Source organism: Homo sapiens, chromosome 11 (assembly GCF_000001405.40).
Source record: "Homo sapiens chromosome 11, GRCh38.p14 Primary Assembly".
Lineage (NCBI taxonomy): Eukaryota > Metazoa > Chordata > Mammalia > Primates > Hominidae > Homo > Homo sapiens.
Genome location: NC_000011.10, coordinates 129430517 through 129454470, shown reverse-complemented (window position 1 = coordinate 129454470; position 23954 = coordinate 129430517). Strand labels below are relative to the sequence as shown.

At 44.7% G+C, this 23954-nt stretch overlaps 1 protein-coding gene across 3 annotated transcripts in view, besides 2 other annotated features; it reads right to left on the bottom strand.

The window, feature by feature from the left end:
* Nucleotides 653-1154: an enhancer, noted in NCBI's record as "NANOG hESC enhancer chr11:129323212-129323713 (GRCh37/hg19 assembly coordinates)". NCBI's record gives its function as "activates a minimal SCP1, AML or CMV promoter by ChIP-STARR-seq in naive H9 embryonic stem cells {active_cell/tissue: H9 hESC(naive)}" and the evidence as "EXISTENCE:reporter gene assay evidence [ECO:0000049][PMID:30033119]".
* The window catches only part of BARX2 (BARX homeobox 2), a 77047-nt gene continuing 55284 nt past the window's right edge, over nucleotides 2192-23954 (bottom strand). For all 3 annotated transcript variants that reach the window (XM_011543044.3, NM_003658.5, XM_011543043.1), the window contains exons 2-4: nucleotides 17420-17720; nucleotides 11552-11636; nucleotides 2192-3335 (exon numbers count right to left, since the gene is read on the bottom strand). In XM_011543044.3, coding sequence (XP_011541346.1) covers nucleotides 3069-3335; nucleotides 11552-11636; nucleotides 17420-17472 — 405 coding nt within the window. In that variant the 5' untranslated portion in view covers nucleotides 17473-17720 and the 3' untranslated portion in view covers nucleotides 2192-3068. The remainder of the gene's footprint in view (nucleotides 3336-11551; nucleotides 11637-17419; nucleotides 17721-23954) is intronic.
* Nucleotides 13287-13811: an enhancer, noted in NCBI's record as "H3K27ac-H3K4me1 hESC enhancer chr11:129310555-129311079 (GRCh37/hg19 assembly coordinates)". NCBI's record gives its function as "activates a minimal SCP1, AML or CMV promoter by ChIP-STARR-seq in naive H9 embryonic stem cells {active_cell/tissue: H9 hESC(naive)}" and the evidence as "EXISTENCE:reporter gene assay evidence [ECO:0000049][PMID:30033119]".

Here is a 23954-nt window from a genome sequence, read left to right as displayed (position 1 = left end):
TGGGTCACCAGGCAAAGCTACGCATAACTGAGGCTGGAAGACAAGTCTTGGGCTTGGACCCTCCAAAACACAAGGAAAGATCATCAGAGGTCTTACCTTCACCAATGAATTCAACCCCTACAGGCAAGACACAAAAGCACAGGTCACATGCCAAGGAGTGAGAGTCGGAGGTCCGAAATAGCTCCCAGAACCCAGCGCTCAGGAATACCACTGTGTATGGACACGTATATTGTGCGGTGACAGTCACTGTCAGGCACCTCAGAAGAGGACATCATGAAAACACATGGACACATAGAGGGGGAAAAAAAATACACTGGCGCCTACCAGAGGGAGGACGGTGGGAGGAGGGAGAGCATCAGGAAAAATAACTAATGGGTACTAGGCTGAAATACCTGGGCAATGAAATCATCTGTACAACGAACCCCCATGACACAAACTTACCGATGTAACAAACCTGCAGATGTACCCCTGAACTTAAAAAAAAAGAAAAGGACATCATGGGAGCCCAGGGCAAGAGATGGAACACCATCCTGGGAAGCCAGCATCCAGACAGGAGGCCTCTCTGGGGTGGCGCGAATGGGACAGAACACTTCCTTAGGATTGACACAGAACTAACACTGACCCACCGGCTTACTTTGGCCATTGTGCACATTCTTTGGCTCATTGTGACACCACCTGGTAGGCAGATCATAAAACTGTACCATGGGGTGGGCTACAGGTGGAGGAGACAGCGTTCTGCCTGCTTGGTGCAAGCAACCTCGCACAGGCAGCTAGGTGTGGTCTGCTCAAACTGGTTCTCAGAAGCCAAATCCTCCCCTCCTTTGTCTATTCACAAGAGTTAAGAAAAAGACTGCTTTCTCTGTTGATCTCAATAACAAAGGGGATGAGGCACTGCCTTGGCAAAGTCAAAATTGCAGTCACTTTCTGATTGTTAATGGAGAAAAGCAGGCGGCCTGCCAGGTGATGGAAAACACGCGGATCTTTCCTGTTTAACTTTGAAATGAATTATGTGATTGTTTTACAGAAGTAGTAACAGATTTGGCTTCCTTGTTGAGGCCACTGTTGAAAGTTGGTATTCTCCAAGCCTGCAACTGGGCAGAGTTTGTGTGTAATTAATAACTGAGAGTCCACTAAATGGGCACTCGGCCCTGTAAGCCATCACAGGTGAGCACGCTGGGGCAGTGATCATAAAGGTGACCCCTCTGAGATCAGGCTCTGGGCCAGAATGCATGAGAATCAGACAAAAAAAAAACAGAGGCAGAGTCCTCCTGCTAGGAAATCTAGAGCCTCCTTCTTTTTGGTCTTAAATTAACGTGGAACACAATTTTTAAATTTAAAATCACCCAGCACATCTAGTCAAGTAGTTCTCAGGTCTTCTTTTGTTAAAAGTTGCAGAGCCCATCATCCAAATGAATACTTAGTCAAGAAACCCTGGAAAGATGAACAAGAAACCAATAAAAATAATTACCTACCGGGGATTCAGGGGAGGAGAGGGCAGGGTGGAAGCAAGTTTTTTTTTGTTTTTTGTTTGTTTGTTTGTTTGTTTGTTTTGAGACAGAGTTCCGCTCTTATTGCCCAGGCTGGAGTGCGATGGCATGATCTTGGCTCACTGCAACCTCCGCCTCCCAGGTTCAAGCGATTCTCCTGCCTCAGCCTCCCAAGTAGCTGGGATTACAGGCATGTACCACCACACCCAGCTAATTTTGTATTTTTAGTAGAGACAGGGTTTCTCCATGTTGGTCAGGCTGGTCTCGAACTCCCAACCTCAGGTGATCCGCCTGCCTGGGCCTCCCAAAGTGCTGGGATTACAGGCGTGAGCCACTGCTCCCAGCCCAAGACTTCTTTTTTTATAGTTTTGACTTTTGAAGCATATACATTTCTTACCTCTTTAAAAAAGTAAGACCATTGGACGCCCCAAATGTGAAGCGGCTGAGAAGGGAGCTGCTCTGGCAGAAGGCGGTGGGAGAGGTGGAAGGGAGAGCCTAGCTACTCTGCCCTGTCCTCATCCCGGAGGCTCGGTTCCACTCCCACAGCTCTCAGCACTTGGACACCAATGGCCTGGCCCAATCCTTTGTTTTATAGATGGGGAAAAGGTGGCCCCCCTAGTTTGGTTCACTCTCTGGATCTCTCTTCCCATAGGACACATTCAGGAAGGGTTAGATACACTCCTCAGAAGACACAAAACACTCAATCCTTTTGAAAGATTTATTTTTAATTAAAAAATAAAAGTTATCTGAACATATCTGCATTGCAGTTTCAGGGATGGCACCTTAACCCATTTATGCCGAAGGTCACAAATGTTTTTTATGAAAAATCAGATCTTGGTGATGACCTTGAGCAGTAGGATAGAAATAACTCCCACAAGCTTAGGGTTCCAATAATGGAACCCTAGGCATGAATGGGTAAATGAAGCAAAAAACAAAACAAAACAAAAAAAAAACCAAAGCTTATCAGTTCTTGGGTCTTATGACCATCTTATAATGGGTACAAAGGCACACGTGTCTTCAAACAAACTTGATTCAGAAACATTTCTAACAACTCAGAACTACCCCCATGTTTTTGCCCACCCTCACCCCCCCAAAAAAATACAACCAAAAACATTAAATTCTTTTTTAAAACTACAGAAATAAGTGCTGAGTCAGCAAGGAACCTGGGCATGCTGCCCACATGCCGCCACGTCTCTCTGCTTTGATGACTGGCTGCCCAGAGGTCAGGAGGGAGAGAGCTAAGCACTTTCCACTGCATGCTAGGATATAGGGCTTGCAACATAGACCCAGCCCTACAGCCGTCACCCCAGCTGGGGCAGGCAGCTCCTAGGCGCTCTCTCCCTTAATCAAGGGCATCCACAGCTAAAGCAGCCTTTCAGGAGGTGACAGGCCCAAGACAAGCAAGTCTTTGTCAAATGCTTGCGATGACAAGGCCAATGGTAACTGTGGGAGGGAGGGAGACGGGTAGATCTCTTCGCCCGCAGTTTACTGGGCTGCTGGAAGGTTTTCTCTCCCTACTCTCCCTGCCTTCTCTCTTTTCCCTTCTCCCCAGTCTCCCTCTTCCCTCAAAAGGGTTTTACTTTAGCTTAATGGTGGGGGTTCCGAAGAGGGTATTGGCAACTCCTGGGGCGGGTCTGGTGGCTCTGCCATCTCTAAGGGGACATCACGTGCTTTCGGTTCCTGTGCTTCACAGAGCTCCTCCTGCCCCTGAGAGGGCTCCAGCTGCTCCTGACCCTGGGCCTGGCTGTTCATCTTCTCTTCAGCTTCAATCTCTTCTGATGTGGGGATGGAGTTCTTCTTGGGGCGACCTTTGGGTTTTGTGGGTGCTTCCTGTCCACCTTTAAGAACCTACGTGAGTAAAAAATTGTTATTGAATCTAAGAAATAATTCCTTCCCTCCACCTTTCCACTCCCAGTATAACCTCACGTTGCATCTAAACCATCTGTTCCAGCAGTGAAATTGCAGGATTTGGCAAAATATATTCTCAACCCATCACCTCTGGTCTACAAAGACACCTCCATTTTTTAAATGCTCAACGCATTTTTGGTCAACATTATATATTTTGGCATTTAATACAACAATCATAGGCAGCTTCAGAATTCAACTTCAACAATAAGGAAAGAAATGAAAATTAAAATGTTAATGCAATAACTATCAAGTTGACAAGCTAAAAAGACAACAATAATATTTGTAGCAAGCAGGAAAAAAAACACACTGTATGAAAGTGTGATTGTTACACACTTTTCAAGACAACCTGAGAGTTCAAGTCAAAAGCCTTAAAATGTGCATGGCTTTTTGACACAGAAAGTCCTTAGGCTAAATTCTAAAAAATTATCTAAGACTGAGACAAAGATTGATCTGCAAAAATATTCATCACAATATTGGTTATAACAGCAAAAGTTGGAGGGGGGTGATATCCTAAAAGTTTAGCCATGTAATTGGGTAGAATTATAGTAAATCCCAAAGACAGAATACTTGACAACCATTACAATTACTATATAGGAGAATGTTTAATAACACAGAAAATATTATTCATATAGTTTTGTAAAAAACAGATTCTTAGCATAATCCAGTTTGGAGGCTAGACAACCTATACACCACCTTGTCTGCAGTGATCTGTACACCACCTTGTTTGCAGGATCATGAATCATTTTTAATCTTTGTTTTTTCTATATTTTCTAAACTTTCAACAATGATCAAACATAAGTATTTCTGTAATCAGAAAAAATATGTTATAAAACATGTAGTCTTGTAGCGTTCGAAGAAGTAGTACAGCAGAGTTTAAAAAGCATTTTGGCTTTGATAGTAGAAAAACTGGGTTAAATTCCAACTCTGCCACTTATCATCTTTGTCTTTGGGAAGTCCTTTAAAGGCCCTGAGTGTCCGTTTTCTAATCTGTAAAATGGGAATAATAATACCTTGTATTACAGGGTGACAGTGAGGGTGACCAACAGATAATGTGTATGAAAGGACCAGAACGGCACCTGAATGGTAGGTTTCCTTTGCCCAGAATATATATACCATCCGCCCTCCTTCTCCTGGCTAACTTCTCCTGGAAGCCTTCCTCATCCCCCAGGTCTAGGTTAAATGCCCTCTGCCGTGTGCCCTAGGAGCAGCCTCTACTGTTCTGGCCAGAGCACTTTTCAGAAACTATGGTCACTGCATGTTTACCTGCTGCCCCTCTCACTCAGCCCCTGCACATAGCAGGTGTTTGACAACTGTTACCAAATGAACTAGGCTTTCTCAACAAACCTTTCCCTAGAGTCGAGAAAAGATATAAAGCAAGCCAAATAACTGGACCCTAAATGGCCTTGGCTGACTTCAAAGGCCTGGCACCCTTATTATCCCAATTTGTGACCCACACAAGAGTCCCAGGAGGCAGACAGGGATAATTTTAAAAATATTTATATTTTGCTTTGGAATGTAGTAGACACTCCTTCCTCCACTGGCTTGGCATAGTTCTTGATTTTCTGGGCAGTTAGTGAGAAGGGCTTCCAGAGGACCTGGATTAGCACAGATGATTAGGGGTGGGAGATATTTTCGCTATTTATAAACCTAGCCTAATCTTCTTGTCTTCTATATTTGTATATAAGCTCCTTGAAGACAAACCCTGCTTCTCTCCATTACTCCATGCTCCAAGAATCAAACTTCCAGCTAACTTCTATGCAGTCCCTAAATATTTACTGACTGTTCCTCTTTCCTTCAAGAGCAGCAGAGGACCTCCAGGTGCTGAATTTTAAGGATAAAACCATAACTTACTTTGTATACAGCTCTGAGATATAATTCACATGCCAAATCCATTTAAAGTGCACTATTCAGTGATTTTTAGGATAGTCACAGAATTGTACAACTATCACCACAATGCAATTTTCCAACACTTCTATCACCCCAAAAAGAAACCCCATAGCATTAGCGGTCAGTCCCTATTTTCCCCCAGCCCCTACCCGATCTGCCCACAGCCCTGGGCAACCACTAGTCTGCTTTCTGTCTCTACAGATGTGCTTATTTTTGGACATTTTATATAAACAGAATCATATAATATGTGCACTTTTGTGACTGGCTTCTTTCACTTAGCATAATGTTCTCAATGTCTATCCATGCCGTAGCATTTATCAGTAAATAATATTCCATTTTATGGATATACTATGTTTTGTTCGTTCACTCATCAGTTGATGGACACGTGGGTTGCTTACTACTGTGAATGAAGCGGCTGTGAACATGGGAAAGAAGTGAAATTGAATTGCTGGATCATTTGGCAACTCTATGTTTCACATTTTGAGGACTGTTTTCCAAAGCACTATTTTACGTTCCAGCCAGCTGCATATGAGGGTTCCAATTCTCCACATCCTCACCAACACTTGTTGATGGCTGTTTGACCACAGCCATCCTAGAGGGTGGGAAGTGGTATCTCATTGTGGTTCTGCTTTGCATTTATTTCCCTGATGACTAATGAAGTTTAGCATCTTTTCATAGTGCTTATTGGCTAGCTGTATATCTTCATTGGAGAAATTGTCTATTCAAATCTTTTGCCCATTTCTAAATTTGGTTGTCTTTTTATTATTGAGTTGTAAGTGTTCTTTAAATATTCTGGATACATGTCCCTTATCAGATGTAAGCTTCTCTGATTCTGTGGGCTGTCTTCTCATTTTTCTAATGATGTCCTTCACAGCACAAAATTTTTAAATTTTGAGGAAGCCCAATTTATGTTTTCTTCTGTTGCTTGTGCTTTTGCTGTCATATCTAAGAAGGTTTTGTCTAATCCGAGGTCATGGATACTTACTCATATTCTAAGTTTTATAGTTTTCACTCTCACCATTTAGATGATGATTCATTTTGAGTTAATTTTTGAGTATGAAGTAAGAAAACCAAGAAGTTCTCAGTAAACACCTCCTTTTAGCTAAAACTCTGCTCAACCACTGTCCTTTCCGCATCAACAGCTAACACACAGATATTAAGGGGACCTTTAACGAGGTAGAGATGCTGACAGAAACCAACCCTGGGGAGAAGACGTTCCCTGTATTTCTTTTCACGTAAGTCATTATCTGATTTTGATTTCAGTCTGAGTGCAGGCTTTTGAAAGCACCCAATTGTGCCAAGATGGAATTTACATGTTGAAAGCAGATCCACTCAGTATGAAAGAGGTTATACAAAAGTAAGTTGCCCCATGTAGTAATCAAACTAGAAAAGGGCAGGTCTATGGAAGCCACCTAATTGGCAAAAGAAAGTCCAGCCCAGCAATTAGAGAACACCACCCACACGGTTTGGACGGACCCCACCTGGCTGTTTTCCTACTGCATGAAAAAAAAATCCCCAAAACAATTAGACCATTTTCTAAATGGAATAAAACATTCCAGCACAAGCAATAATTAGGAGATAACTACCCTCTTGGCTGCTTTCTGCACTCAACCTCTGGCCCCTTGCCTTCCAGCACACCTGAGACATGCAATTATCTCAGAACCACTCTCCATCAGGAGCTGCCCATTCACATGCACCCTGTGGCCTTCCTCCTAGGAGCCCTCTCCCCATTTATTCTTAGAGCCAGTTTAGTCCCGTTGGTCCAGAGAAGCCAGAGAGCTCCTTGTCTAAGAGGTCACATGCCTCCTTCTGCCTCTCGGAAGAACACCTAGGACACCATCCACTTTTATTAGCCGTGCCTGGTGACAGCCCTCCTCCAAACTCTGCAACGAGGTATTCAGATGTTCTGTTGCTGAGGGTGTTAAGACCGGATCTTTTGCTTCCCTCCAAGCAGCCTGGGTAGGGGGCAGGGAATGTCAGTGCAGGAAGGAACTCTCTCCTTCCCTCTACTTTTCAGATAGGAAACTGAGCTGACAGAGTTTGTCAGTATCAAAGAGCAAGCCAAGGGCAGAGCTGGGATTTGAACACAAACCTCCTGACCATTTGAGTCTAACAGTCTTAGCAGTATTGCATTCAGCATAATGCGCGAGGGATATGTAAAATGGGCCACTGTTCTACGTCTGGTTATTTATTTGCAATTACCCAACCTCCCAGCAGACTCCAGGCAGTAGACTTATTAGTGGGGGTGATCTTTGTTCCTTTTTCTCTGTCTCTCTCTGCAGCTTTATAGGGCAGCGAGGGCCACATAACTGATGACTGTTTCCATGAAGCTGAGAAACAAGTTTGGATTCCCCAGCATGAATCTCCTCCCAGACACTGCTGCTCCCATTAGCTGACTTTCTCAGCCTGAAGATGTGATGTTCCACTGGACCTCAGGCAAGGCCCCAAATGCCAAGGCGCTGACTTGGAGATGACTGGGGAGCAGGGACTGAGAAAGGACAAATGCTCAGGGCTGTGCGGAGTCCCTGAAACTCATAGAATTCACTTTTGGCTTATGTATCCTGGCCTCCAAATATTTGGATTCTCTGAAGACATGGATTTTGTGGCTAGGTAATAAAAATACTAATAATGATAATAATAACGGCAATAACATCTCTTGGCTGTATCCTATATGGCAGGTCCTATTTACGTGTTTTACAGAGATTAGCTCAGTTAATAACACAACCCTACAAGGTACGTGTTAGGCCTTTTACTGGAGAGGAAACAGGCACACAGAGGTTAAGTAACCTGCCCAAGATTACACAGAGAGCTACTGGTAACAATTCATGGAGTTGTTAACTATTTGGGGACTTTTCATGAGAAAGATAATGACCATGAATAGTGTGGGGCCCACGCAATTCTGTCACTAGGAGAGAAAGGAGGTATCTGTTTGGATCCTCTCATGGAAGAGAATTGCATTTTAGAGCTCAAAGAGACCACCAAATAATGAGGCTCTTTCAGCCTGTTGCAAAACACTGTGGGTCCTGCGGGAACTAAAGCCAACAGACATGGAATAGAGGGTGCGCATCCCATCTTAAATATGCAAGATTAAATTTACCCAACCCGCTATAGGTTACCAATGCTGACGGGTCAGAATTCGTCAGAGATGCTATCTCGGTTCTGGCAAAGTTACCCTTGGCAGCCATGTGAATAAGTCTGAGAATCAACTGCTAATCTTTTTCCAGTTCCAATTAGGTTACTAGCCTTGAGACATCTTTATTACTCAATTATCTTTTTCTTTTCCTCCCTGGTACCTAAACAGATAGCCTTGAAAAGAGTTTTACTGGGAAACTAGATGAAGCAATCAGGATCACAACACAGCCTTGCTATTCCACTCTCTGCGCTGATCCTATAAATTTCCCTGCTGCTGCCCTGACCGCTCCGTGAAATAATAATACCAGTTTGCAGATGTGTCTTCTGCACTTGACTGAGTACCTTTTTATAATTTTATTTTCTGGTGGACAGGCTCATGTCTTATCTTTGCATCTCCATGGCCTGATGAATGTTAAATGCTCAATGAATTATCTCAAAAGTGAACTGACAGCTTGGGCCTCTTGGCTCCTAAAGGGACCTGAAGGTGACTGGCTTGCAGAATGTTCTGAGGTTAGATCTGCTAAGTTACTCTTCCATTTTGGTTTACATGGCATTGATACCCATCAATAACTGGCCCACAACCATGCCAGCAACGCTGTTGCTGGTGAAAAACAAGTGACGTCAGAGACGAAGGCACACGCATTGGCCCACGGGCACTGGGCGGTGCTGGCAGAGGAGGCTGCCTGTCGATTCCTTAATCATCTGACTCACGAAAAGATTGCTGATAACCAATTTAAACAATGCCTCTGCTACTTAGGAGGCATTGATTTCAATGCTGATGACTGACGAGGAAGAAGGTGGGTGGTGGATCTTGCACAGAAAGCAGTGAAGGGACTTGCCCAAAATCAGCCAGGGAAGGGCAAGCATGGGAACACGGCCGGGTGCTTCTCACTCTCAAGTCTAGTTCTTTAGAGACCAATCCCCCAAAAGGTGTCCATGTGTGCTTGGCACTGTAGAGTTTTTGGAAGACTATTTAACCGAATCCATTCTTCCTTCAATTTCTTGGTTTTTTATTTTATTTTTATTATTTATTTATTTATTTTATTTTTATTTTTTGAGACGGAGTCTTGCTCCGTGGCCCAGACTGGAGAGCAATGGTGTGATCTTGGCTCACTGCAACCTCTGCCTCCTGGATTCAAGTGATTCTCTGGCCTCAGCCTCCCAAGTCGCTGGGATTACAGGCAACCAACACCACACCCAGCTAATTTTGTATTTTTAGTAGAGGCGGGACTTCACCATGTTTGCCAGGCTGGTTTCAAACTCCTGACCTCATGTGATCCACCCACCTCGGCCTCCCAAACTGATGGGATTACAGGCGTGAGCCACCGTGCCGGGCCACTTCCTTCAATTTCAACTTCTCCCGGCCACCTTCTCCATTACCTCTCTTCTGAACTCCGATGGGCTTATAAATCCGTAACAACCAGCACTTAATTATAACATGCTCGGCAGCTACCTCCTGGGCCTTGTTTCTCTGACTACATCATAAATTCCATGAAGGCAAGGGTGATATTTTATTTAATTACTTCTTATAGTGCCTAGGACAAGGAATGGCTCACAAGAGACACAAAATATATATTTGCTGACTCATGCAATATCCATATGTTTGAACACATAACTGGCATCTCTGTCTTAATTCGTGGGCACTTCATGAGCCAAGTCGCCTCCATTTTGAAAACCCTTTCATTTCAGGGTCAGGTCCCCCCAGAGGAAATTACAAGATTTGCCCAGGAATTTCTTTTTTGGGAATATAATAATTGCTGCTTGTTGACTTTTTTCCTAATTTTTCCCATTGATGTTCATCTGCAATTTACTTATTTTGTTTTTTTTTTTCTCCTCATTGTTAGCAGAAAATAGCAAGGAATAGCAAGAACTAAAAGCTTAAGAAAAAACAATATTGGACAAAACCACAACATTGAGAAAACATCTATCCACTGACTTTTTTTTTTTCCTGAAAACTGGGGTTGGCAGAACCCCGTAGTTATTTGATTATTGTGAAAAACATCATATTTTAGCCCTGAAACACCAAGACATAGGGCCTGTGACCAGACAGGTTAGCAAATTAGAATGTCATCATGAAGGCATGGCATGGACGAGAGGAGAAAGAGCCACTAACGTTTGGTGAGGGGGTAAGAAGCCTATGGCAGGTGGCATGGTGGCACCTGGGCTCCAGAGAACAGCAGGGCTTCTTCCCTTATCGCCACCCCTCCTCGTTTTCTTTTGCTCTGGGCTTTGACCTTGTCTCAGTGGTTTACAAAGCTGAGAAAGGAAACACTCAACTACTTTGGAAAATTTTGATTTAATAGTGCCCTTTTTAGTGAAAAGAATAAATGATAATGAAATTGAGTTCCTCACAACGTAGGGATGTATCTATTCTAATACTTAAAAATCAAAGATGGAAATATTCATTAGCTAGGCACTAGAGCAGGATGATGGAAACTGTGGTCATCATACCAGGCACTTCAGAATAACCAGGGCTCTTGTTAACACGCACATTCCCAGCCTTGGCCCAGACCTCTGGGACCAGAATCCTGGGAGGGGGCCTAGAGTTCTGCATTTAACCTGCTACCCAGGGGACGCTAATGCCCACCAAAGTTTGAGGATCACTGCGTTAGAGGACGCACAGCCAAAAGAACAGATGCATCCTCTACGTCATTATAAACAAAGAGTACTGACTTCTATTTTTAGCTCTTGGTGGGAGGAAGAAGGAAGTTGTTTGAAAAGGCTAGCAGGTAGGGTTAAAACTAGCAAGTTAGGAGAAATACCTAATGTAGATGACGGGTTGATGGGTGCAGCAAACCACCATGGCAAATGTATACCTAAGTAACAAAACTGCATGTTCTGCACATGTACCCTAGAACTTAAGTATAATAATAAAACTAGCAAGTTAAAAGCCTGTAAGCTTTTTTTCCTTTGATTTCTAAGGAAACAGAAAAAGAATATCCCTCTGTTTAGGAACTCCAGGTCAAGAGGAATAGCTCAACCTACAGATCCAACAGCTTCCCCGCAAGCCAGCAGCATAGAAGGCCTTCCAATCTCTGCAGCCCAAACTGCCAAATGGTCCGGCCTCCCTCCCAACAGCCCTGGAGTAAAAGTCCTTCCCATCAGGAAGGGATCATGGTTAGTCACTCCTTTCTTACCATTTTCTTCCATTTCATCCTGCGATTCTGATACCAGGTCTTCACCTGCAGCTGAGTGAGTCCCAGAGACTGAGCCAAGTCCAACCTAGAAGGCACAAGATACAAAGGAAAGGTGAGCAGAATGGGAGGCAGCAGGAGAGATGGGATCCTGCTGGCAGGCTCCAGACAGGCTCCAGCACTGGCTACCAAGGCTCGGACCTCCCCCATTAAACGAGGTCTTCCCCAAAGCGCTTTTCTTTCCTTCCAAGAATCCAACAGAGGAAACTCTGGGAAGCTGAGAAACAGATGCCCATGCCTGAGGACACCTGGGCCAGTCCCCATCCTGAAACATTCACGGTCTGCAAGGGACCTGAGAAGGATGCCTGGGGCTTCTCATCACACAGTCCTTTTCCTGGCTTGACAAGAGCATTCACTCTGACCCTCTGGCCCATCGTCCAGACTGGAAACAAAAGGCAAAGCCAGATGTTGCTGATGGGAATCCACTCATCATTCCAGACCCAGCCCCGGTCCCACCTCCGGCAGGTGATTCTCCTGGCTCCCACAGCTCGTCTCCTCTGCACCCTCCCACAGGCCAGCAGTCACCCAGATGGTCCCACGTTTCCTGCTGTTCTCTGATCACTCCAACTGTGTTATTTCTGCCTCCCTAACTCAGTAGCCAGGGCAGCGTATACCTTCCACTTCTTTTCTACCCATGAAAGTGCCCATCACACTGCTAAATCCAGAACCGGTGCTCAAAAAATACTTCTTAATGGATTGATTCAATCGCTGTAGCTGTCCTAAATTGTTATAACAATTAAAATGTTATAAATAAATAAATATTATAAAGATTCCAAAAGAAACATTAAATCCACAGCCCTTCCTGTTTTCCATTCTACTGCTAATCATGGTGCTGTACTTCTCTGTAGTCTTCTGAAAAGTCCTAAAAGTCAAAGCCATTTCTGGGGCTAAATCTAACACACCCACCATTTCCTGAGCACCACGGCATCCCAGGGTACATGCTAAGCCCCTGACATGCTGTCTTATCTATCCCATTCACAACGCAGTGAAGCAGTGTAATTGTTCCCATTTTACAGATAAGAGAGTTGAGGCTTGGAGAGATTAGACTCTCTCAGCAACTGTGGCCAAATCCTGTCTGCTACCTGGTTGTGTAAATAAAGTTTTATTGTAACAGGCCAGGCACAGTGGCTCATGCCTGTAATCCCAGCACTTTGGGAGGCCGAGGCGGGTGGATCACCTGAGGTCAGAAGTTGGAGACCAGCCTGGCCAACATGGTGAGACCCCCATCTCTACTAAAAATACAAAAATTAACTGGGTGTGGTGGCAGGTACCTGTAATCCCAGCTACGAAGGAGGCTGAGGCAAGAGAAGTGCTTGAACCTGGGAGGCGGAGGTTGCAGTGAGCCGAGATGGCGCCACGGCACTGCAGCCTAGGCAATGGAGTGAGACATTGTCAAAATAAATAAATAAATAAAAATAAATTACTTCTGTGCTACAATATCAGAATTGGGTAGTTGTCACAGACCATATGGCCCACAAAATGTAAAGTATTTACTGTCTGGCTCTGCCCAGAAAACCTTTACCGACCTCTGGCAGATGATCGTAGAGTTAAGAAGTGGGGCAGGATTCAAACCCACGATGTCTGACCTGTACACCAGCTCCTGCATTGGGGCTCACACCCACTCACAATATATCTGCACAAGTTGAACCTGTCAAAGGGGATCGCAGGGATGCTTCATCCCAGGAAGCAGCAAACAACCGGGTGGGACAAGTAGAATGAGAAAGGGAAGTCTGCAGTCAGACTTCCAACATCAGTCCTTGAGACAACAACCATTGACCTAATAGGATAAGAACCCCAGGTCTACCTCAGCACCAACTGGAGAGCCACCTCCTTAAGCCAACATAAGCTGCCTCACTGCCACGCCAGCCCTGCTCAGCAAAGCAGTGTGGACTTCGAATGCAGCAGCTTGGGACAATCACCCCTGACAGAGCTTGGGCAGCAACCCCCACTTTTTGAAAGGCCCTAGGTTTCTGAGGATTGCCGTCTGTGAATCTCGGGCCCACAGTCAGTCTCACTTGCCTGCTCCATGGGGAGTCTCAGGTGTGGGTTTTCAGCTGCAGCTCTCCACCTGGGGAGATCTAACTATCAGGGAGGCCCACAGGGACCGGCCCTGATGATCTCAGGTGCAGCTGCCCAGTTGCCCTGCTCTGACCAGGCTGCATAATTTAAAGCCCCAATAATACACAGAGTCTTCCTTCAGGGGACCCTGGAAGTGGTCTTAAATCAGTACTCACATCCCTCTGGTCATCCCTGTAGAAGAGCTACTAGAAGCTGGCAGTTTTATTGAAAGTGATTAACAGGCTAAAGCCAATAAATTCCCAGTGCCAACAGCACTTGGCTCTTCCCACAAATGAAGCACTGCTTCCCAAGCAGTCGCTCATTGAGAACCAAGAACCCAGGGGGCCACCCCACAGACTTCTGGTCTCCCAGGCCTCCCTGGAGACGGGTCCTCCATGGTTCTGGCTGGCGGTGCCTTCCCGAGCCCAGTTCACCTGAGGCCATCAGGTGCATTAGTCAATGGAAGGCTCAGTTCACAGCTCTGCAACTGCATTAGCAAACAGTGTTAGCTCACTTGGGAAAAATGCAGCCCTGACTCACTCTGGCTACAGAAACATGCTTCACTGTCATCAGCTTTCTCTCATTACCTGCCACCGTTACAAATTCTCACTTCCCTGCATATTCGCTTAAATGGGGTCACCTAGGAAACTGGAGAAACAAACACAGAGGAGGAGGGTGAGAGCTGTGGGAGGAGGGAGTGCTCATGGCCCTGGTCACGTAGGGAGGCGAGGAACATCTGAGAGGGCAGGTGAAGATGGCAGCTTCCATGCCAGCCAATGGTGTCCTCCCAGATAAGTGAATCAATCCTGTGTAGGTGACCTGAGAGATGCCTGGGCAGGTATCAGGGAGCCCCAGGAGGTTTAAGAAGAACTAATATTTCTGAAAAAAAAAATTCTCTGACTTCTGAAAAATCAGCCTAATATGTTAGTCATGCACGCTGAAGCCCGTCTGACATACCACCGTGCTACCATAGACAAAGGTGCCCACTCCACTGGGTGCACAAGTTCATGAGGCTCTCAATTATATGCTAGGGAAGTGGAAACAGCCATGTCATACCTGGAGAGCCCATCTACTAACCTCCGGTTCACAGACCTGTCTCCATCATCTGCCCAAAGACACTCCAAATGCACAGGTCTAGAACAGAACTCAACCTTTCCCCACCTAAGTCTACTCTGTCCTCTGTCTTCCTACTTCAGTTCATGGCGTCCCTATCCACCTGCTGGCCCAGTCCAGAAACCACAGAATTCTCAACTCCCTTCTTGCTTCCTTCCGCAATGTTGATTCTGCCAATTCTCTCTTCAAGATTGTCCTCTTCTCACACATGGACACAGGGAGGGGAACCTCACACACCAGGGCCTGTTTGGGGGTGGGGAGGATAGGGGAGGGATGGCATTAGGAGAAATACCTAATGTAGATGATGGGTTGATGGGTGCAGTAAACCACCATGGCACGTGTATACCTATGTAACAAACCTGCACGTTCTGCACATGTATCCCAGAACTTGAAGTATAATAATAAAAAAAAAATTGTCCTCCTCTCTATTCCTGCCTCTCTGTTCCCACTGCCACCCTTTAATTCAAGTCTTCGTGATGATCACTGGATTCTCTCCTAACTGGTCCCTGCTCCGTCTCTGGCCTCTCTCATCCATCATTTATGGTGCCACCAGAGAGACAGTTCTAAAATGTAAGTCTGATCATGTCACCTCCAGCTCATAAAGGCAGTGCCAACTGCTTAAACAACCAAGTTCACATTTCAGCCAGGCATACGAGGTCCACCATTTGCCTGTTCACACCTTAAGCTGGAGATGTCCTGGCTACTTGCAGTTTCCTCCACATACCCGGCGAGACACGCTTCTTTGCCTTGTGTGTGCCAACCCCTCAGTGCGGGACTTCCTGTCCCTCCTGGAATCAAAGCTCTTCTTAAATGTTACCTCCTCTGAGAAGCCTCCCCTAACCCCATCTCCCACGCTCAGCAATATCCTGTGTTCCTACTGCACTCAGCAATGCACAGGCACCAGCGCCTGGCTTGCTGCGTCTTTGTTCCTGTAGTCGTTCCTTCCCCATGATCCCTTTCTGTCACAACAGGACTCTCTCGACTGCTTTCTGGACCCGTAATCCCTGCCACAGTGCCCCAGTGGCACCCAGAAGGCCCTTACCAAACAGCTGACGGTGCCTCATTAACAGAATCAGAAGCTAAATTCCCTTTTAGTCGGTGATATGCAGACTCCTCTGTCACTTAAATTTGTATCAAAGAGCTACTACACAGCTTAAGAGATTCATTTGAGGTTCCTTCCTTTACTTTTTGATAGGACTGGTGTCCAACCTGGTATGTCCAAGGCAGCAGGCAAAAGAAGAGGAAGAAGGACCTGAGAAATCTCCCCAATAAATAGGATCACACATTATTAGCTCAGCCATCTCCAGAGTCAGTCTGAAAGAACAAGATGAGACACTGAGATACACACTTTTTTTTTTTTTTTTTTTTTTGAGACTGAGTCTCGCTCTGTTGCCCAGGCTGGAGTGTAGTGGCATGATTTTGGCTCACTGCAACCTCCACCTCCTGGGTTCAAGCAATTCTCTGTCTCAGCCTCCCAAGTAGCTGGGATTACAAGTACCTGCCACTACACCCAGCTAATTTTTGTATTTTTAGTAGAGACGCGGTTTCACCATCTTGGCCAGGCTGGTCCTGAACTCCTGACCTCGTGATCCACCTGCCTCGGCCTCCCAAAGTGCTGGGATTACAGGCGTGAGCCAACACACCCGGCTATTTTTTTTTTTTTTTTAAGGAGACAGGGTCTCGCCTAGAGTGCAGCGATGCAATCTGATGCAATCATACCTCACTGCAGTCTCAAAGTCCTGGGTTCAAGTGATCCTCCCATCTTAGCCTCTTGAGTGGCTGGGACTACAGGTGCATGCCATCACACCTGGCTCATATTTTAATTTTTGTAGAGACGGGGTCTCACAACGTTGCCCAGGCTGCTCTCAAACTCCTAGCCTCAAACGATCCTACTGCCTCAGTCTCCCAAACTGCTGAGATTACAGGTGTGGGCCACAATACCCGGCCCAGACACACACTCTGGCATATGTTTCAGTTAAAATAGTAAATTAAAGAAAAGGAGGTGAGGCATTGAGGCCTCCAAGAAAGCAAGGGTCACAGCCTCCCCAACATGGATCTCAGAGGGGTTCAAAGAAGGGGCTCTCAGCCAGGTCCTCCTGGGTCTCAGTCAAATGGTTCTGACTTGACATCCAGCAAATTCACTAACATGTCTGACCTCCTCAACTGGATCCCTCCAGTCCTTCCCAAGCAATAGCCAGGCCAGCAAACTGAGTCAGTGGGGAATCAGCTGGAGGCTGTGGAGAAGATTGAGAAGATCATGAATCCCAATTCCAAATCTAGTCCTGCTGCCTCCAATCCTAAGAGTGAGTGGCTTAAAAACCAAGCCTGTTTCCCAGCTGACCGCCTGAGCAACCATTTGCTAAACTGGACCTTGTTTATGATACTGAAATAGTTAAGTTCAAATATGGAGATAAAGTGGTGAGTTAAGTTTAGCCGCAGGCAGGCTCCAGGGACCGTGTGGTGGATTCATGTGGGCTGGGTTCTGTTAACCAAGGTTGAGATGATTTGAGCCAAGGAGTGGACTCCGCCATAGTGTCCTGCCTCACTGTACCAGTGCTGTGGCTCCACGGCCCACAATGGGAGCAAGTCTCCCGTTCCCAGGGGCCTTCACTGCGGAGAGTCCCTTCCCTGCGTCCTCACCTGTCTGGGGTTGACAAATACTTCTGCTTCTGGAATTTCTTCTCCAGGCCCATGAGCTGCAGCTCGGTGAAGATGGTGCGACTCCGGCGGGGCTTCTTCTGTCGGGGCGTGGGCTGTTCCGTCTCTGACTCGCTGCTGGCTAGGGCCTCGCCCCCTGGGGCCTCAGCAGAGACCGCCTCGGTGACCTGGTGGCAGGACAGTGCCTGGGCGATTCCCGGGGTGGCAGGGACCAGGTGGGAGATGACAGTGGGCTGGCGGGTGATCACCGAGAGGAGCGGATATGCCCGCAGGGAAGGGGAGCCTGGAAAACAAGCAGGGAGGCAGGTCACCACAGGGAACGGTGTGGGGAAGCAGGCCAGGACCTGCGGAGGGCCGCTGGCTGAGGTCTGTCTGACAGGGAGGGCCCTGCTCTTAAGGAGGTACAGATGGAGGAAGGGGAAGGAGAGGTAACTCAAGACCTACAGCTGCAGGGCAGGCACAGAGGTCTGCTCTGCTCTGTGTGGGAAGATGAAGCCCACGGCCCAGAAGAGGTTCCTGCAAGTCCTCTGGTTTTAAGCAGATCTTTCCCCTCTCTCCCTTCGGAATCCCTAAATTCTTGGTCCATGGGACCAGGCAGATGAAAAGAAGTAGTCAGGAAAAGCTAGAGACACATATTTCAGAAACCCGAAATAGATTTGTAATATGCAAACTTCCTGAGAACCACCTGTGGTCTTTATAAAAAGACATGCTTGTAGCTATGAATTCTTCCTGAGAAGTCTGTGTACCTTGAAGCATAGCATTTTTCAGAGCTTGACAGGATGCTTTCGGATTATTTAATTCAACTTTCTCATCTCAGAGGGAGTAAATTGCCCCAGGAAGGTTAAGTGAGTTGCCTAAGATAACGTAACTAGGAAGCAGCAGATGGAGGAGTCAAACCAAGTTCTTCTGACTTGAAGTCCCATGCTATCAGCACATCATGAATCACATGGATACATCATTCAGAAGAGGGAGGCAAACAGATTTTAAATCACATGAAAGCTCAGATCGGTATGACTGGCGCCTCCAGCACTATGTTAAGGAGGATTCTCAGGCTGGCCAGAGCTTGGCTGAGGAAAAGGTGCTGGGTCGATTAACAATGTCTGCTATGGGCATGTGGCCGGGGCAGGGTATGGTGGCATACATACCAGTTATATGCCACTCCTGCGTTAGGAATTTCAAGGCAAGAGTTCTTTTCTGTCCAACAATCTGTTAAATCTGTAAAGTTCAAGTAAAGAGCTTTTCCCTTTGATTATTCAACACAGAGCTTAAAATGTCTGGATCATTACCTATGTGAATCATTTTATCTCTCAGTTTCATCATCTATAAGGTGAGTAAGAAAACTAGCTGATTCTAAAGAATCCTTCAAACTCTAATATACTGATGCCACGAAAGGACCTCTCATCCTCCCCATTTGATATCTGATGAAAATGGAGAAGACCCAGGGACTGCCCTTTGGGACTCAGTCCAGCCCTGAAAAGTGACTTCAAGGCCACAGCCAGCATCTGAGCCAACCAACATTCACACTAGCTCTGAGTTGAAACCGACTAACATCACAGAAGCATCCAGGTACTACCTGTGCTCCAGCTCTCTTCTCTGGGTTGGCATTTCTCTTCTTATTCCTTCCCATGCCTTTGTTTGGCCCCCAGTCACAGTTGATAAAACAAATAGCTTCTCTTATTCTTTGAGTACACTTCTAGCTAGGCCCAGCAGAAACCACAAAGTGGTTAAATAACAATAAATCACCACTTGCTACAACTTCCATTAACTCTCCAGCCAACTCCAACACTTGATGTTTTGTGCTGTGGATTCTTTTTAAGAAAAAAAAATCACCTGGGAGTGATATTTTAGAGCAAGAAAATGAGGATATGTGGGCTTGTGGTTTGGATCTCACAGCACACATCCTGAAATGATACTTCTTGGAAAAGAAGTTGGAAGCTTCTTAAAAAGGCATAAGATGTTTCTCATCTTAAATCACCTTACTCCTTTAAGTCTGTCACTTCTTTCAAAAGAGACTATCTTTCTTTAGCAGGCTAATGTGTAATCTAGAAACTAAGAAGCTTATCATTATAGGAAATGACTAACAATCCACCTGTAAGGAAGGCTTTGTATCACCTTTCTCTTTTGTAAGAGAGTTAAATATTTTTTTACCCAACATTGAATAATATTTTGAAAGTGTGGTAATATCTAGCATTGGCAAGCATACGGGGAAATAGGCATTCATATATTGTTGGTGGGAGTATAAAACAGTATAATCCTTGAGGACAAATTAAGCAGTATCTACCAAGTCACTGACAGGGAATTTCGTAATTTGAGGTCTATGCGTACAAAGATTTATATACAAGCATATTCACTGCAGCCTTGCTTATAATCATGAGCAGGGGAAATAACCTATATATTAATATCTCTCAACAGGAAAATAATTAAATAAATTGTGGTACATCCATAGTATGAACTACAATGTAACCATTAAAAAGTACTATCTAGTTCAGGTGTGGTGGCTCAGCACTTTGGCAGGCTGAGGCTGGAGGACTGCTTGAAGCCAGCAGTTCAAGACCAGCCTGGGCAACAGAGTGAGACCGTGTCTCTGTTTTTTTTTTTTTTTTTTTTTTTTTACTTACTTTTTTTTTTTTTTTAAAGTAGAGACAGGGTCTCTGTTGCCCAGGCTGGTTTTGAACTCTTGGCCTCAAGCAATCCTCCAATTTCAGCCTCCCAAAATGTTAGGATTATAGGTGTGAGCCATCGTGCCCAGTCAGAGATTCTGTCTCTTAAAAAAAAACATATAAACTGATGAGAAAGAGAGATGAATAGATGGATAAACTATATATAAACTAATACGAGAAAATACCTAATATATTATTGAGAAAAATATGATGTAAAATCATTTGTATTATTCTTTAAAACTATGATTTTTTTTTTGTCTGCCTTTATAAATGCATTTTTAAAAGTCTAGAAGGCTAGTTATCAAACTGTTAACAGTGATAACCTCTGGGCTTGGAATAAAACAGGGTGAAAAGGAATCTACACATTTGCATCTAATCCTGCATTCAATCCAGCCATGAATATTTACTGAGCATCTACTATGGGCTACACTCCGCTCTGGAAGCTGGGGAGATAGCAACGAATACTATAAAGTCCTACCTTCATGGAGCTTACATCCATTTGGGGAGGCAGACAGCAAACAAATAAACAAGTAAATATGTAAATAGTGCCAGGTAGTGATAAACTATGATGAAAAATACAGCAAAGTGTGAAGATGGGGCAGGTGGGGCAGAGGGCAGTATTGGGGATGAGGAGTCAGGGAAGGCCATGGTGGGAAGATGACCCTTCTGCAGGTAAGCACCCCCACGCAGAGGAGAGCCTGGAGAAGGTACGGGACAAGCACCCCAGCCCCAGAACCAGCACAGGCAAAGCCCTAAAGGCCGAATGAGCATGGGTTGAAAGACCAGCAGAAAGGCAGAGTAGGCAAGGGCAGAAGTCACAGGAGAGAAAACTGGGAAGAGATCTGTTGGAGCCCGATTACGCAGGGCCCTGTAGGTCAGGGCAAATCACTTGGATTTTATTCAAAATGTGATTTTTAAAAAAGCCATTGGCAAGATGTGAGCTGAGGGAGGACATGATCTGACTGATGTCTTAAATGATCCCTAAGGAGGTTGGACTGCAGGGGCCAGGGTGGGAGCAGAGAAACCAGTGAGGAGGCCAGTAGACCAGAGGCAGCAGCTACAGCAGTGAGAGGGGGTGCATTTTATAGTTAAGGTTGAGAGGACTTGTTGAAGGACTGAATGTCAGGTATGAGAGAGAGAGTTGCCAGGAGAGGCCTGACGTTTTGGTCTTAGCAACTGGAGGAAGGATGGTGCCCTTTACCAAGATGGGAAAGACTGGGCAAAAAGCAGGATTAAGTGAGAAAACCATGATTTCTGTGTTAGGTAAGTTGCTATTAGACATCTTGCACATGTTGAGGAGTCAGTCAGATAGAGGTTGGGTTAGAGACACAATTCCTGGGAGTCTATGTGGCATATTGGACCATGGGATTGCATGAGATCACCAAGGGAGTGGGTGGAATAAAAAAATGAAGAAATACAAGGGCTGAACTCTGGGGCACGCCAACATCTCAGGTCACAGAGAGGAAGACGAGCCGGCCAAAGACACTGAGGAGGGGACAGAGAAGCAGTAGGAAAGCCCATGTCCCTTGGCATCCCCAAATCTAGATGATACTTCTGCATTGTTCACATTTTGCACAGGTGCGTATCTTTTTTTTAAAATTTTTTAAAAAGGAAAGTTACATTAAATGAGTTATAAGTTTCATTCCCATTCTAAAGTTTAATTTTATGTTCAGTTTGTCAAAAAGAATAATCTTTCATTGACCCTTGATCCCAAGGAGTGGTTAAAACTTCTTCTAAAAGCTAGGCAAAGAAAATCAGTCTAGAAATCCCAGAAATTGAGTATAAAATGTGTTTAGTTTTATGACACTTCTAGTAAAACAAACATTGTGGGTGTTCTCCTGGGAAAGGGGGGCTCTTTAGCCCATTCAGAATCCAAAGGTCTAGAGAATTTTCTCGCTTTATGTCAATTTTCTCCCTTTATGTCAAAAGATGTTTGGGTTCTTGAATCACATTCATTCTTTTAAAAGAAACATCATTTAATGTGGAGAAATAGTAGTCTTTTCAACAAATGAGGCTGGGTGTGGTGGCTCACACCTGTAATCCTAGCACTTTGGGAGGCCGAGGTGGGCAGATTACTTGAGGTCAGGAGTTCGAGACAAGCCTGGCCAATATGACGAAAGCCCGTCTTTACTAGAAATACAAAAATTAGCTGGTGTGGTGGCACGCACCTGTAATCCCAGCTACTTGTGAGGCTGAGTCATAAGAATCCCTTGAACCCGGGAGGCGGAGGTTGCAGTGAGCTGAGATCATGCCACTGCACTCATAACACTCCATTTCAAAAAATAAATAATAAGTAAAATAAAAATTTTTAAAAATAATTGCTTAAAAAAATGGTGCTGGAGCAATTGGACATCCAGATGCAAAAAATAAAAATAAAAATAAAAATAAATAAAATAATAAGAGCCTTGACCTCATAAATTATTTTAAAAATTCACTCAAAATGGATCATAGACCTTCAGTAGAAACACAAACCTATAAAATTTTTAGAAAGAAACATTAGAGAAAAATCTCTGTGACACTGGGTTAGGTAGAGAATTCTTAGCCATGACACCAAAAGCATGATGCATAAAATAAAAAGGCAAAAAACTGGTCTTCATCAAAATTAACAATTTTTGCTCTGTAAAAGATACTGTTAAGAAAATGAAAAAAGCTGCAGACTGTGAGACCTGACAAATCTCACACCTGACAAATGATTTTTACCCGGAATATATAAAGAACTCTCAAAGTTTGACAATTAAAAAATAACCCTATAACAACGTGCCAAAGTTTTGAAAAGACACTTTACCAAAGAGGTTCTACATATGGCAAATTAGCACATGAAAAGATTCTAATGAAGGAAATGCAAATTAAAAACCACAGAGAGGTACTGTTACACAGCTGCTAGAACAGTTGACGTTTTTAATGAACTGACAATATCAAGTGCTGGTGAGGATGTGGAGCAACTGGAACTCTCCTTCATTGCTGGCGAGAATGCAAACTGGTACGGCCTCTTTGGAAAGAGAATTAGTAGTTTCTTATAAAGTTAAACAAACGCTTACCATTTGACCTAGCAAAACCCCCCAGATATTAACCCAAGTGAAAAGAGAACACAAAACCCTGTATACAGATGTTTATAGCAGAATTATTAGTAATTATCAAAAACTAGAAACAATCCAAATGTCCCTCATTTGGGGATGGATAAACAAAAACTGGTACAGACACACAACGAAATACTACTCAGAAATATAAAGCAATAAAACGATTGATGCACACTGGGAGGCCGAGGTGGTAGATCTCTTGAGGCCAGGACTTTGAGACCAGCCTGGCCAACATGGCGAAACCCTGTCTCTACTAAAAATACAAAAGTTAGTCGGGCGTGGTGGTGCGTGCTTATAATACGAGCTACTTAGGAGGCTGTGGCATGAGAATTGCTGGAACCCGGGAAGTGAAGGTTGCAGAGAGCAGAGATCATGCCACTGCACTCCAGCCTGGGCGACAGAGCAAGACTCTGTTTCAAAAAAATAAAACAAAACAAAAAACTTGATGAATAGTGGATGAATCTCAAATGACTATGCTTAAGTGAAAGAGGCCAGACTCAAAAGGCTATATGATTCTATTATAGGACATTACAGGAAAGGCATAACTAGGAATAGAGAATAGACTGCCAGAGGTTAAGGGTCGGGGAAGAGCTTAACCACAAAGGGGAAGCACAGGAGAACTGGCTGGGACTGGAGGAGATGCCAGGGGAGGTGCTAAGATTGTTTTGTATCTTAACCACGGTGGTGGTTATATAATTTTTTGCATTTGTCAAAACTTGCTCTTCTACCAAAATAGTGAATTTTTACTAAATATAAATTAAAAGGAAATTTCAAAAAAAA